The sequence below is a fragment of the Homo sapiens genome, chromosome 9, assembly GCF_000001405.40.
Source record: "Homo sapiens chromosome 9, GRCh38.p14 Primary Assembly".
Taxonomy (NCBI): Eukaryota; Metazoa; Chordata; class Mammalia; order Primates; family Hominidae; genus Homo; species Homo sapiens.
Genome location: NC_000009.12, coordinates 126,061,600 through 126,077,483, shown reverse-complemented (window position 1 = coordinate 126,077,483; position 15,884 = coordinate 126,061,600). Strand labels below are relative to the sequence as shown.

Sequence of the window (15,884 nt, the reverse complement as noted above, 5' to 3'; positions counted from 1 at the left end):
CCCCCACCTTAACCCACAAGTTTAAGATACCTCTACTCCCTCCTTGGTGACCGGTCATGCACCCCTTACCATCTCATTAAAACCTAATCACCCTTACCCCGCTCAATGCCAATATCCCATCCCACAGCATGCTTTGAAAGGATTAAAGCCTGTTATCACTTGCCTGCTACAGCATGGCCTTTTAAAGTCTACAAACTCTCCTTACAATTCCCCCATTTTACCTGTCCTAAAACCAGACAAGGCTTACAAGTTAGTTCAGGATCTATGCCTTATCAACCAAATTGTTTTGCCCATCCACCCCATGGTGCCAAACCCATATACTCTCCTATCCTCAATACCTCCCTCCACAATCCATTATTCTGTTCTGGATCTCAAACATGCTTTCTTTACTATTCCTTTGCACCCTTCATCCCAGCCTCTCTTTGCTTTCACTTGGACTGACACTGACACCCATTAGGCTCAGCAAATTACCTGGGCTGTACTGCCGCAAGGCTTCACAGACAGCCCCCTTTACTTCAGTCAAGCCCAAATTTCATCCTCATCTGTTACCTATCTCGGCATAATTCTTATAAAAACACACGTGCTCTCCCTGCCGATAGTGTCCAACTAATCTCTCAAACCCCAACCCCTTCTACAAAACAACAACTCCCTTCCTTCCTAGGCATGGTTAGATACTTTCGCCTTTGGATAGCTGGTTTTGCCATCCTAACAAAACCATTATATAAACTCACAAAAGGAAACCTAGCTGACCCCATAGATCCTAAATCCTTTCCCCACTCCTTTTTCCATTCCTTGAAGACAGCTTTAGAGACTGTCCCCACCCTAGCTCTCCCTGAGCCATCCCAACCCTTTTCATTACACACAGCCAAAGTGCAGGGCTGTGCAGTCGGAATTCTTACACAAGGACCGGGATCGTGTCCTGTAGCCTTTTTGTCCAAAAAACTTGACCTTACTGTTTTAAGCTGGCCATTATGTCTCCGTGCAGTGGCTGCTGCCACTCAAATACTTTTAGAGGCCCTTAAAATCACAAACTATGCTCAACTCACTCTCTACAGCTCTCATAATTTCCAAAATCTATTTTCTTCCTCACACCTGACACATATACTTTCTGCTCCCCGGCTCCTTCAGCTGGACTCACTCTTTGTTGAGTCTCCCACAGTTACCACTGTTCCCGGCCCGGACTTCAATCCGGCCTCCCACATTATTCCTGATACCACACCTGACCCTCATGACTGCATCTCTCTGATCCACCTGACTTTCACCCCCTTGCCCCACATTTCCTTCTTCCGTGTTTCTTACCCTGATCACACTTGATTTTTTGATGGCAGTTCCACCAGGCCTAATCGCCACACACCAGCAAAGGCAGGCTATGCTATAGTACAAGCCACTAGCCCGCCTCTTAGGACCTCTCATTTCCTTTCCGTCGTAGAAATCTATCCTCAAGAAAATAACTTCTCAGTGTTGCATCTGCTATTCTACTACTTCCCAGGGATTATTCAGGCCCCCTCCCTTCCCTACACATCAAGCTCGGGGATTTGCCCCCGCCCAGGACTGGCAAATTAGCTTTACTCAACATGCCCCAAGTCACAAAAACTAAAATACCTCTTAGTCTAAGTAGACACTTTCACTGGATAGGTAGAGGCCTTTCCTACAGGGTCTGAGAAGGCCACCGCAGTCATTTCTTCCCTTCTGTCAGACATAATTCCTCAGTTTAGCCTTCCCACCTCTATACAGTCTGATAACAAACCAGCCTTTATTAGTCAAATCAGCCAAGCAGTTTTTCAGGCTCTTGGTATTCAGTGAAACCTTTATATCCCTTACAGTCCTCAGTCTTCAGGAAAAGTAGAACAGACTGAAGGTCTTTTAAAAACACACTTCACCAAGCTCAGCCACCAACTTAAAAAGGAATGGACAATACTTTTACCACTTTCCCTTCTCAGAATTCAGGCCTGTCCTCAGAATGCTACAAGGTACAGCCCATTTGAGCTCCCATATAGATGCTCCTTTTTATTAGGCCCCAGTCTCATTCCAGACACCAGACCAACTTGGACTGTGCCCCAAAAAACTTGTCATCCCTACTGTCTTCTGTCTAGTCATACTCCTATTCACCATTCTCAACTACTCATACATGCCCTGCTCTTGTTTACACTGCCAGTTTACACTGTTTCTCCAAGCCATCACAGCTGATATCTCCTGGTGCTAACCCCAAACTGCCACTCTTAACTCTAAGAGTAAATAAATAATCTTTGCTGGCAAGGCTATGCTGAACCTCCTTAGGCATTCTCTAATTAGATGTCCTAGGTCCTCCCAATTCTTAGTCCTTTAATACCTATTTTTCTCCTTCTCTTATTCCATTTAGTTTTTCAATTCATACAAAACTGTATCCAGGCCATCACCAATAATTCTAAATGACAAATATTTCTTCTAACAACCCCACAATATCACCCCTTACCACAAAATCTTCCTTCAGCTTAATCTCTCCCACTCTAGGTTCCCACGCCGCCCCTAATCCCACTCGAAGCAGCCCTGAGAAACATCGCCCATTATCTCTCCATACCATCCCCAAAAATTTTCGCCGTCTGAACACTTTACCACTTTTTCACTTTATTTTTCTTATTAATATAAGAAGACAGGAATGTCAGGCCTCTGAGCCCAAGCTAAGCCATCATATCCCCTGTGACCTGCACGTACACATCCAGATGGCTGGTTCCTGCCTTAACTGATGGCATTCCACCACAAAAGAAGTGAAAATGGCCTGTTCCTGCATTAACTGATGACATTGTCTTGTGAAATTCCTTCTCCTGGCTCATCCTGGCTCAAAAGCTCCCCCACTGAGTACCTTGTGACCCCCACTCCTGCCCGCCAGAGAACAACCCCCCTTTTTCCTTTACCTACCCAAATCCTATAAAACGGCCCCACCCCTATCTCCCTTCGCTGACTCTTTTCGGACTCAGCCCGCCTGCACCCAGGTGATTAAAAGCTTTATTGCTCACACAAAGCCTGTTTGGTGGTCTCTTCACACGGACGCACATGAAAGTGGCCCCAAGTCTCCGATTCCCACTGCCCCCGTGGCTCTGCTCACTTTCAGATTTTGCTGCTGACCCTTCTGCAGTCCCCAGTGGAAGTTACAAAGGAACAATTTTGGGTTTCCTGGACCACAGCTTTTGGATCCCTCTGAAAGACAGGTCCTAGACTCCTCCTCTTGTCTGGTGTCACTTAGGGACAAACCCTAAGTGTCCTCTTACAGGCCACCCTCTCTGTCAGAATGACTCCTTACTCCAGGGAGGAGTCATTAGGATGTAACTACCCCATTGTCTCCAGTGGGTGTCTGTCCTGGGAGGTTCCACAGAGCCATTCCCCAGGGACACTGCTTCATGCAACCTCTAAAGTGGGCATGTCCTAGTTTTGGCCATAGCTACTCTTATTGTCCATTTGTCCATAGCTACTCCTCATTCTCTGGATGGTGACAATATCACCCAGATATTAGTGGATTCACCGTGCTGCACTGCACCCCCTTTGGAGAGCTTGCCTTAAATCCACCTTCAGCAATTGGGCACACAGCATGTCCCTCTGCCATGCCAACTGCTGCCAACACACACACACACACACACACACACACACACACACACACACACACCTGGAACGATTTGGATGCAAACGGAGCTGGATTCGAATCCTAGCTCTACCACTGGGGTGGCCCTGGCCCTTCTCCCTCTGGTCCTCAGTTTTCCCACTTATAAAACAGAGAAAAGGCCCCAGCTCTCTGAGTTGGCATGTCTGGGCCCACAAGAGGGATCTGAGCCCAGAATTATGCCCATTCCCCACCCACCAGAGGGCAGCCCCAGTAGCCAGTGAAACAAAAGGGTCAAGAGCCATACAGAGTACTGGGGCGGGGGGCCCCTGCCTTCACCAAGCCCCCACCTCTTCAGAGCTTCTTTTCTCCACAAGTTTTACTGGGCCGAGTAAAAGGCAAAATAGTTTGGGGATGAAATGCAAGGATTTGGAATCAGATATAGCTGGGTTCAAGACTCAACTCTGCTTCTCACTGGCAAGTTGCCATATCTCATGGAGCCTCTGTATTCTCCGTTATAAAACGGGGTGACCAAGTCGTTCCACATTGAATTCCTCTGGGGATTGGGTAAGATCACAAATGGGAAGCCTCTGACCAGAGTGGGGCACAGGTCATCATCACCATGTTCTTGGGGGTAAATGGTGAGAAGAGTCGTGGGCTCAGAGAGCCCTAACAAGGGTCCCAGCACACGAGGCTGCTCATGAATCAGCGGGATCCTTGGGTCCTCCCCCACCAGTACACCATGGCCAAGGGGAGTCCATTGGAAAACAGTTCCTGAGAAGTTGAAACAGAGTTACCATGCTACCCAGCAACTCCATTCCTAGTGTGTCTAGAGGATTGGAAACACTGGTGTATTTGTACACAGTACAAGTATAGATAGAATGTTCCTAGCAGAGTTGGTCGCAGCAGCCAACAAATGAAAACAACCCCAAAGTCCATGGACCAGTGAATGGATAAACAAACAGTGGTGTACCTGTGCCGTGGGTTATTACTGGGCAATAAAAAGACTGAGGCACCGGTGCCTGCTGCAGCACAGATTTGCCTCGAGAGCACTGTGCTAAGTGAAAGAAGCCAGACACAACAGACCACGTTGGAGGATTCCATTGACACGAAATGTCCAGAAAAGACAAATCCACAGAAACAGAAAAGAGATTACCAGGGGCTACCAGTGGTTGCCAGAGGCTGAAGGAGGGGAAATGGGGAGAAACTGCTTCATGGATATGGGAGGTTCCTTTTTAGGGTAATGGAAATGTCTAGAATTAGATAGTGGTGATGGGTGCACAACCTTGTGACGATACTAAGAATTGTGAAGATACCAACGAATTGCACACTTTAAAGGAATGACTTTTTTTTTTTTTTTTTTTTTGAGACAAAGTCTTGCTCTGTCACCCAGGCTGGAGTCCAATGGCGTGATCTCGGCTCACTGCAACCTCCGCCTCCCAGGTTCAAGCAATTCTCCTGCCTCAGCCTCCCGAGTAGCTGGGATTACAGGTGCCTGACACCACGCCCAGATAATTTTTTGTATTTTTAGTAGAGATGGGGTTTTGCCATGTTGGCGAGGCTGGTCCCGAACTCCTGACCTCAGGTGATCCACCCTTCTGGGCCTACCAAAGTGCTGGGATTACAGGCGTGAGCTACCGGGCCCAGCTAAAGGGATGAATTTTATGGTGGGTGAGAGTTTGAGCACTGGTCCAGGCCCTGAAGTTCTTTCTCACAAACCCAGGAAACTCTGCCAAGCCCACAGATGGCCTTGGACCTCAGAGGAAAAGTGGTCACAGGCCCTGAGCCACTGCTAAGGGCCAGGTTCTGGGCCAGCCCTGGAAGGGGCGTCTCCTGGGGCAGCACAGACAGTAGTTAAGGGTGGGGCCCTGGAGCCAAACAGACCCACATTTCTATCTTAGCTCAACCCCTTCCAGTCCTGTGACCTTGGGCATGTCGTTTGACTCTGAGTGTTAGTTCCCACATGTGTGAAATTGGAGATAGTGACATAACCTGCTCCACCAAGCTGTGGTGAAAATCAAGCAAGTCCATCAGGTAAGTTGCCTGGCATGGAGCTAGACCCAGAGCAAGTGCTAAATATAGGTCAGCCCTAATAGCATTGAGCTCTCACTAAGCCCTGCTAGCATACCTCCCTAACGCGCAAGAATTACCATTCCCATTTCACAGGTTTTGCCTGCACCAACCCCCGCCCCACTCCAAGGTTCAGGATTGCTGAGATGCAGCAGGAGAGTTATAGGGGATGCACTTGAGGCTGAGGGGCCAGCTGGGAGGTGGCACAGACAAGCCATGAGAGAAGCCGGTGGCCTGGCCCAGGCAGTGACCAAAGGAGTGGAGAGAGCCGACGTGCCAAGTGTCTCTGAGAGGAGAGCTGCACGGGCCCAGTGACATCCTGGCTGGGGGTGAAGGAGGACTCGTCAATGAGGACTGACCCCTCCCAGATTCCAGCTTGGTAAGCCAGTGTTGGGGGGCTGGCTGGCCCCTAAGTTCAGGGGCATAGTGGGGAGAAGAGCCCCAAAAACCCAGGATCCTGAAGAGCTCTGGGCTGGAAGCAGAGACATGGGATATAGGAATCGCTAGGATGACAGAGGAGGCACGGGAAGTATGACTTGCTAGGATGGAGAACGGAGGAGGAGGGAAGAGGGAGGAGTGAGGAGGGCGGTGTTGCAGAACTGGGCCCGGGGAACAGCCGCAGGTGAGAAGCCAGCAGAGGAAGAGGTAGCTGGAAGGAGCTGGGAAGACACGATCAGGGAGCATGGAACCCTCCCACAATCAAGGAGCTGAGAAGACACAATCTGGAGACCACAGCATCAGGGAAGGTGCAAAAAGAGAAAATCAACAGGAGAAGGGAGTCTGACTGTGCCTGCCAGGCCTGAGGGATGGGGAGGATGTGTGCCCATAATAGCATTGGATTTTGCCTCAAGGGGGCAACTGGTTGTGCTGGGTGTCAGAAGGGGCGTCAAGGGCCCATGTAGGTGGGTTAAGACCTAAATGGTGGGGAGACAGGGTGGGTGCCAAGGGAGGGCCCTGCGGAAGGATGCTTAAAAGCCAAAGAAAAAAGAGCAGGTGGCTATTGGTCAGGACCCCTGGAACGTCCTTTCTTAACCTTTTGGGCAAGGTTGGCCCTGCCCTCCTGGGAGATCCCACAGCGTTCTCTCCATCCATCCCTCTGTCGCAGCAGCGACCTCCTAGAATTAGAGTCATCTGTCTCTCTAAGTAGACCATGAGCGACTTGAGGATTCAGGGTCTTCCAATTTCTGCAGCTCCAAAGTCTGCTATGGAGGAAGAACAGGTACCAGGTGGGCAGACTAGCAAGAAGTCAGACAGGCGGATGGATGCATATAGACAGACAAGCAGGCCAGCAGACAGACAGGCCAGGGAAAGGAACAGGCAGGCAAGGCCACTGAGATGGCTGCCCCTCCCACTCAGGGTACCCCCACCCCCACCGCTGACACTACCAGGCCTGGAGCACAGATTTATCTCCAAATGCTGCCACAATCCAGATATTGGATTTGTAATCACAGGCTCCAATGTTCACGGGATAAATATACTAACAAACTAATTGTTAGCTCTGAGGTTGTAACAATCAACACGTCCAGCGTGAGATATGGGCCGCTCGCCGGCCCGAGTCTAGGTCGTCTCAAGGCCCCCAGGCCTGGCGCCATGGGCACCCCACCAGCCCCCAGCCTGAACGTCCACACAGGGGGTGGCATGGGCAGGAGGGCTTCCAGAGCGCGCTGGCACAGAGCGGTCCTCACTGCCCCTGCCTGAGCCTCATCAGTGGCAGACATAAACTAACTCAGTTCCTGGGGACCCAGAGGAGAAGCAGGAACTGTTTGGAAGAGAATTATAGCTGTGGGTGAAATTAGATGTACTCTGAGCCCCAAGGCTGAGAGAAATAAAAAGCATTTTAAATGGAGTGTAGAATTCATATTCCTCAGTCACCTTCCAATAAATAAATCTTGTACCATTTTTTTCTGTAAACAGTGGTTACACTCAGCTTCCATTGTCTCCACATCCCCATCCCATATGCCAATCGGCAGGGAGGGGCAGGGCCATGCCGGGGTGGCAAGGAAGAAAATGGGGCATCTTTGAGGTTTGGGGGCACTGGAGCCCTGGCTTCCCTGGAGGTGTGCCCAGCTCCAGCTCTAAGGAGGCGTTGGGCAGATCCCAGGGTCATAGCCCAGCCCTGGACATCCCTCAGGGATCCCAGGGATAAGACACTTCAGATGGAACTCCCAAACCCCAAGGTTTGAGACCTAGGGGTCCTGGACAGCTCCGCCTCTCTGGGACCCCCTTCCCCCAGGAAATGAAGCATTGCATGGGCGCTGACAGCTGGGGGCGGAGGGGAGCCGGCAGGCCTGGCCACAGCAGCTTCTGTTGTTTTCGGTTTTCTTTTTAAAGGCTTTGCCTTCCAGTTGCAAAAAATGGTATCTTCTTACCACTAAAGAGGTGGAAAATGCAGGAAATCACAAAGAAGAAAAACATCGCCAGCAACCCTGGAGCCCTGAAAGAAAAATCACTGTGGCTATTTTCACATTTTCTCTTCCAGATTTTCTTCAGTATGTATAATATATGCACACCAATAAATAAGTGTTTTACAAAACAGAAATAATCCCTACATTTACTAAGTAACCAATACGTACCAGGTACTGTTCTAGGCATTTTGAATATATTATCTCTGAATCTCAGCTCACATTTTGGGGACCCTGAGCGTGCACCTGGCACATTTGTGAGCACAAACCTTCACGATGCGTTCCCCTCCACACCCAAGAGGCAGGGCCCGCTGTTGTCCTTCGGGGAGGGAGGCGACTTGTCCAAGGCCACAAAGATGGCAAATGGCAGAACCAGGTCTGTCTGCCTCCCAGTATGTGTGCCCAGCCACCCTACCGCTGCCCCCAAAGCTGGAACACAGTGGACACCCCCGCACTGGGCCCTGCTCCAGCTCCAGCAGTGAGTCCACACCCACTCCTCCACAACAGTCCCTCTTCTGTCCCGCGGGCCCCAGCCATTCTTCTTCGACCTGCAGGTGCTGTCCGCTTCCTGCGGCCTAAGACTGAGGTTTCCATGGCTGCCCTGATCCTGCCCTGCTGGCTCATGAACAGGGAGGCAGCGAAGAGAACAGGCAAACAGTGTGGGTTTGGGTTCAGACAGACATGGCTTCAGCTTCAGCGTGGCCTCTCACTAGCTGTGTGTCCTTGGGGCAGTCGCTGACCCTCTCTGGGCCTTAGCTTGAAAATGAAGAGAATAAGAATACTCACTCCACAGGGCTATTGTGAAAACCAAATGAGATCATCACCACAGCACTTAGCACAGTCTCTGGCACACGCCAAGGGCTCTACAACATTGGCTCTTTTAAATACAGAATGAGACATCAGAAAAAGTTTCAAAGAAAAACAAAAAAAGAGGCCAGGCATGGTGGCTCCCACCTGTAATCCCAGCACTTTGGGAGGCCAAGGTGGGAGGATCACTTGAGGTTAGGAGTTTGTGACCAGCCTGGCCAACATGGTGAAACCCTGTCTCTACCAAAAAATACAAAAATTAGCTGGGCTTGGTGGTGCGCACCTGGAATCCCAGCTACTCAGGAGGCTGGGGCAGGAGAATTGCTTGAACCCAGGAGGTGGAGGTTGCAGTGAGCCAAGATCGCGCCACGGCACTCCAGGCTGGGCGAGAGAGGGAGACTCCATCTCAAAAAGAAAAGAAAAAAAGAAAGAGAGAAAAAAAGAAGAAAGAAAAGAGAGAGAGAGAAAGAAAAGAAAAAGAAAGAAAAAAGAGAAAGAAAGGAAGGAAGGAAGGCAAGAAGGAAGGAAGGAAGGGAAAGAAAGGAAAGAAAGAAAAGAGGGAGGGAGGGGAGGGGAAGGGAGGAGAGGGGAGGGGCCACAATGACAAAACACACCACTGGCCACATACCCTGGCTCTCCCTCCCCTCCGCCCCTGCTCCCCTCTCCTTGCTCTGTTTAATTGGCTGGCATGTACCCGTTTTACAGAATGCCAAGGAGCTGTGATTAAACGTCAGTAATTGTCTCCTGAAAAACAAGGAAAAGAAAGGGAGAAGCTGGCTCCTCCATAGAGCTCCTGAGCAAACAGGAGTGACACTGTCCTGTTTGTCCCTGGGGTCCATCGGCTCTTTGACCTGTGAATCTATCATTCCCAGAGGAGGAGTCAGTGGAGATGGGAACATTAGTTCAGCATATGCCAGTCGATACCTTCTTTAAAATGGAAAGATTCACCCCACCACCACCACCACCATCCCCCAAGCGGAGTGAGGAGAGGTACAGGAGGTGGAACTGTGCTTGTGACTCAGTTCTGAACTGACTGCCCAAGACCAGGCTCACTCAGAGGGGCTACTGGGGCTGCAGCATCCCAGGAGGCCTTCCTGGAGGAGGAGGGCAATAGGAGGACTTGGGGGATGGACAGAAAGAAGGTCTCAGTCTGGGTGGGAAGGAGGATTGTGGGCTGCAGCCCTGGATTCAGGGGCCACAGGATTGGGTCCCAGGTCACCTACTGAATCCTGTGGGACTCTGGGCTGTTACTTTGCCCTCTCTGGGCCTCAGCTTCCCCCTCTGTGAAATAGGGATGACAACACCCCATTGGAACTACAAGGGTTGTGCCAATGGGAATGAATGGGTGATGTACAAGTGAGTGGTTCCACTCCGAGCCCACAGCAGCAGCTGACTCCAGGGTGGCCAGGACTCCCTTCTTCCCAGGGCCCTTGGTCATTTATTTTTGGTTAATTAAATGGTAAGATTTTCATGTCTGATTATTTACTGCCAGCCAGCTTCATTACCAGCTCCCCCATAAGTCACAACAGGGAGCCTGGCTCCAGCTCCCCCGCCTCCATGCCCACTCCCAGGCTGAAGCCCCCAGCCCCCAGCAGAGCTCAGTCTTTGAGGGATCCCAAGAGAGATGGGAGTTGTGACCCTTCCTGTCCTGGAGTGCTGCACGCAGACTTCTCCTGACTCCCACCCCCACCCCCAAATGCCTCGCTGTCTAGACCTGCGGTGGCCTCCTACCCACTGGAGTCTCAGAAAGGACTCGTTCATTGCAAGCAGCTGGTCCAGGTCCTCCCCAGCCTCCCCATTCCTCAGGATCACCCGCTGCATGCCCGGCTCTTTCCCAGCCCAAGCTCCAGGATTGGATCCCCCTACAGACAAGGATACCATGGCTCAGAATGGTCAGGTAACTGGCCCGAGGTCTCACAGCTGGTCAGCAGGGAGTGAGGATTAGAACCCAAGCCATCTGGCTCCAGGGTCCATGCTCCCAACTACCCCCTGCCTCAATGATGGGGAAAGTGCAGGCTTCGGGGTCAGACAGAGCCAGATTCAAGTCCCACTTATGATATCCACAAGCTGCACGACCTTGAGGAAGAAGCTTCACTCCTCTGCGCCTCTGTTTCCTTGGCTGTCAGGTGGGGACAGTAATGCCTCCCTCCCTTGAGAAGTGCTGTGGGCATTACAAGTGATGTGCCTGGACCAACACCAGACTCAGACTTTGCTTCACGCTGAGGGCTTGCCATGCTCCTGTTCCAGCACTGGGGTGGGGTGGATCCCAGAGTTGGAGGCGTGGAAGCCATCCCCGTGTGGGGCACAAGCAGAGGCAGCAGCATGTGGAGGCTGGGGGGTCTCGGGGGGCCCCCCACTGGCAGTGCCTGAAAAGCCACTAGTTGGACCCAGATGGTGCCCCCTGGCTGGCAGTGATCCCTGCAGAGCTACCCCCAGCCCCAAGCTGACACCTGGATGCCTCAGCCCCAGGTACCCACCGCGGGGAAGAGGGGAGCTCCAGAAGTACCCAGTACAGGGAAACCCCAAGGGACAAGGGTACAACAGTGCATCCTCGGCTCAAATCTTCGCCACTGGACAGAGGACAGACAGAACGGGGGTGGGACAAGCCACTCAAGGCAGCAAAGAGAAGCAGCTCTCCCATCTGACCAGGACTCCAGGAGGCAGGCAGGGACCATGCACCTGGTCCCCAGCACCCAACCTGACACAGAGTGAGTGCTTAGTTCAAATCCGCTGGATGATTGAATGAATAAACAAACGACGAATGAACAAATCGACAAACTAAAGACTAAGGAAATGAATGAATGGATAAATAAATGAACAAGTGGCCAAGTGATTGAGCAAACGACTGAATGGATGAGCAATTGCATGATTGAATGAATGAATGAGCAAAAGAACAAACTATTGAATGAATGAACTAGTGAACAAACAACTGGATGAATGAATGAATTGGAAAATATAAGAACAAATGATTGGATAAAGAAGTAAAAATGAATACACAAAGAGGGATGATAGAATGGAAGAGGAAGGAAAGGAGGGAGGGAGGGAGGGGGGAAGGAGGGAGGGAGGAGGAGGGAAAGGAGGGAGGGGGAGGGAAAGGAGGAAGGGAGGAGAGAGAAGCAGGGAAGAGGATGGGCTTCTCCCAACGGGCAACGTGGCCCCTCAAGTGAGACTGTCTGGTCCCCCAGCCTCAGCCCCTCCATCAAAGGTGGGTGGGAGCCTCCATGCACATCCCCTGCAGAGCAGGAACCCAGGGAGCCTCCTCACTGGCAGCCTTGAAAGCAAGGCTGGGGGAGGCCGGTTGGCTTTGCCAAGCACCCGACTGAGTCTTTAACTATTACATTAAGCATCTGCTTTGCCATTCACGGATCGGATAGCATTTTGCCCCTGAGATATTTGATTTTATTACCTTCCAGGGAGAGGGCCAAGCAAGTGTTCTTATTGATTTGCACATTAAATATATTAGTAATAAAACAACATCTCCGTAAACCAATTGTAAAATCAATATTAATTGGTACCAAAATATCACAAGTAGTTGAATTACAATTAAGGGAGGGGTAAGTCCTGCCTCAGGGCACAGTGTGCCGAGGTCCCAGAAGCAGAGGGGTTAAGGACCAGATTTCAGAGTCAGGTGGACCTGGGTTCCCCTCTCTAAGCCTCAGTTTCCTCATCTGCTCAATGGGAGTAATCATGCTAACAGGCAACATTTGATGAGGATTCACGAGGTATATATGTGTCGTGGCTGGCAGTGGCACGTCCCCAAGAAGTGTTCTCTTCCTCCCTTGGTTTTAGTCCCAGCTGTAGGCCGAGTGTAAGTCATTCCCACTATAGTAAGAAAAGTGGCTATTGGCAATGGGGCAAAGAGGCATGGGCGGGGTGCGGGAGAGAACAGCAGGAAAGACAGGGAGCTAAGGCGGGTGTAATAGGCTGGGGGATCTGGGAGGACTTCCGAGGGAAATGTCTCAAAGCTAAGACCTGAAAGTTGAAGAAAGAGCCCAAGAAGGGGGTTTGGTGTGCTCAAAGAAGGCCAGGGGCCACAGCGCCCTTTTCGTTTCTCAAATAAGAAAAAACAAATCCATCAGGAAACTTGAGGGTGCCTGCAAGGGCTGGGCTGGTGTGTTGGCATGAGAGTCCCAGGTAAGCAGGGGCCCCTGGCATCAGGCGGACCAGGAGCTTCAAGTGACCCTGTCTGGTCAGGCAGCCTGGGCCATGTGGGCTGCTTCGGGAGCAGGATGACCAGTGTGCCTGTGAGGACCACTCAGCCTGTCTGCTGGGCCAAACTCAGCAGCATGGGCCAGCTCCCCGGTACCTGGAGCAGACCATCATCCCAAGGACTACCATGGGGGTCACTACAACAGCCACAGAAGAGCCAGTCTCCCCAGCTCCACTTTGCACCACTCATGGTCCCCGGTCCTCCCCCTCCCAGCTCTCCCAGAGCACTCTGGAGGAATTTCACACAGGCCCTGGCCCTGGAGACTCTGTTCATGGGTATATGTGTGTGTATATGTTTCATTGGTCACTAACACTCCCCAGTAGCAATCACAATTTTTTTTTTTTTTTGAGACAGAGTCTTGCTCTGTTGCCCAGGCTGGAGTGCAGTGACTCGATCTCAGCTCACTGCAACCTCCGCTTCCCAGGTTCAAGCCATTCCCGTGCCTCAGCCTCCCAAATAGCTGGAACTACAGGTGCACACCACAACGCCAGGCTAATTTTTGTATTTTTAGTAGAGACGGGGTTTCACCCTGTTGGCCAGGCTGGTCTTGAACTCCTGCCCTCAACTGATCCACCCACCTCGGCCTCCCAAAGTGCTGGGATTACAGGCGTCAGCCACCACACCCAACCAACAATCACATCTGATCCTACAACAAATAACTTTATAAGGCAGCTTTGACTGTCACCCCCAGTTTACAGATGAGAAGACTGAGGCTTAGAGAGAAGGCACCGGTCTAGACAAACAGCCAGCAGGTGGAAGGCTGAGACTTGAACCAAGATCTGTCTGACTCCAGAACTTGTGCTTCTCTGTTGCTTCCAGGCCCAGCAGGGATGCTGACAGGGGTGGCACAAGCTCACGGCAGCTCAGCCACAGACAGGTCACTCTGGCCCTGCTGTTACACCTGGTGTATCCCAGCTGCAGATTCCAGATGGAAGCAGCGCCCCCGCCCCCATGCCAAGGACACCTCTTCCCAGTTCTGACCACTGCATTTCTAGCACCCCCTGGACGTTCTGGTTTTCCTTTGCTCTTTAGAGATGACTATAATGACAGGATGAGTGTGAATAATAGTACACATCACATGTTGATAAAGGGCCTTTCTCCATGCCCAAAACTCCACCCACATATTCTTATTTGACAGACTACAGAGCATAAGGATTAAGTTTGCAGGCTTTGGTCAGAATCACCTCACTTTAAATCCCAGCTCTCCTGGGATTAATAGCACACCTGGTTGTGCAGCTGTATCCGTCAGCTACAGCCACAGTAATGCTGCGTAACAACACTTTGAAACTCAGTAACTTAACAGCAATAAACATTTATTGTCCCACCCATGGGTCTGCAGGTTGGCTGTGGTTTGGCTGCTGTAGGCAGGGCAGGGCTAAGGGGCTGTACTTCAGGCTGAGGGTCAGGGTCAGGGCTGCTTCACAGGTCTCTTCTCACACCAGGATCATGTCTACCCAGAGCAGTTGCCCACAGAAATGACAGAAGATCAAGAGCCAAGAGAAACCACACAGGCAGATCGAGGGCCACTACCCATGTTACTAGCATTCCACTGGCCAAAACAAGTTCCATTGCCAAACTCAGTATCAGTGGAAAATACACTTCACCTGGGGTGGGAGTGGGAAGAAAGATTTGCTGAACAATTATCCAGACTACTGTGGTACCCTTGGGCCTCTGTTTTCTCATCTGTAAAATGGGAACCAAGTGCTGAGTCAGCAGCAGAGGCTTCGGTCTGACGCAGCACCTCCCAGGGTCCAAGCCTTTGCCTCCCCAAGGCTTTCTGATTTTACCCTGCTTTATTCTGTGGCCTTGGCACGTTGGCAACCTCTGGGGTGGAAAAAGCTGATGTCCTGGGCCCCCATGTCATCTGGGTCATTTACTCAATGACTGGTCATGCCACAAACTCTCTCTCATATCCGGAGTTCACCCCAGAAGACTTTCAAGAACCCCTTCCCTGACCAGCACCCATGGGCCAGGTGAGGCCCGTTCAGCCTCTTACAGCACACAGCCTCCCCTCTTTTGTGCTCTTAGCACAACCATGACTCACTAGCTACTGAACACCTGCATGAATTCTGCCTCCCAGGTCTGCAGGCGAGAGCCCCGAGGGCAGGGACTGGGTCCGTTGTGTGCCGCGTAGTGCTAGTGCCTGGCACACAGCAGAGCCTGAACGACCATGTGGCCTGCATGAGACCCTGTGGCTCAAATTCATTCTTTCATTGACTTCTTTATCCAATCATTTGTTCTTATATTTTCCAATTCATTCATTCATCCAGTTGTTCACAATTCCAGCAGGCTCCGGTTGCCGATGGTGACACCATCGTTTCAGGAACTGCCCTTGGAGTCAAGGAGACAAATTTCAAAGAGAGGGTGAGCTTGACAGATACCCAAAGGGCAGCACTCCCTCCCTCAGCTCCTGTCCCCCACTTTGTGAAGAGGGATTAACAATAGCACCTCCTGTGGTTGTCGTGAATGTCAAATGATCTAGTAGATCATCATTTTTATTATTGTCTCAGAAGCCACCATGCACTGGGCTCGCTCTGTGCCAGGGACTGTGCCAGGCACTTTCCCTGTGTGATCTGATGGAATCCTCAGAATAAGTCCTTGGGGGTGATGCCCCAGTGGCTGCCACTCTCAGAGGAGGAAGCTGGGAACAGAGGGTTAGCAACAGTCCAAGGCCACACAGGGCTGGGATTCCACAGCAAGTCTCCCCCTCCCCCAGGCTGCCTAGGCACACGCTGCTCTGCTCCCTCTTTTGCCAGGAACATCCTGGAGGTCGGAGCTGCCCCTGGAGGAGGGTAGATGAGAAAGCACCTCACAAATCCCAAGG

General features: G+C 51.3%; 2 annotated features.

Annotated features, from left to right (window-relative positions):
• Positions 2,450-2,950: an enhancer, noted in NCBI's record as "OCT4-NANOG-H3K27ac hESC enhancer chr9:128836813-128837313 (GRCh37/hg19 assembly coordinates)". NCBI's record gives its function as "activates a minimal SCP1, AML or CMV promoter by ChIP-STARR-seq in naive and primed H9 embryonic stem cells {active_cell/tissue: H9 hESC(naive and primed)}" and the evidence as "EXISTENCE:reporter gene assay evidence [ECO:0000049][PMID:30033119]".
• Positions 8,527-9,027: an enhancer, noted in NCBI's record as "H3K4me1 hESC enhancer chr9:128830736-128831236 (GRCh37/hg19 assembly coordinates)". NCBI's record gives its function as "activates a minimal SCP1, AML or CMV promoter by ChIP-STARR-seq in naive H9 embryonic stem cells {active_cell/tissue: H9 hESC(naive)}" and the evidence as "EXISTENCE:reporter gene assay evidence [ECO:0000049][PMID:30033119]".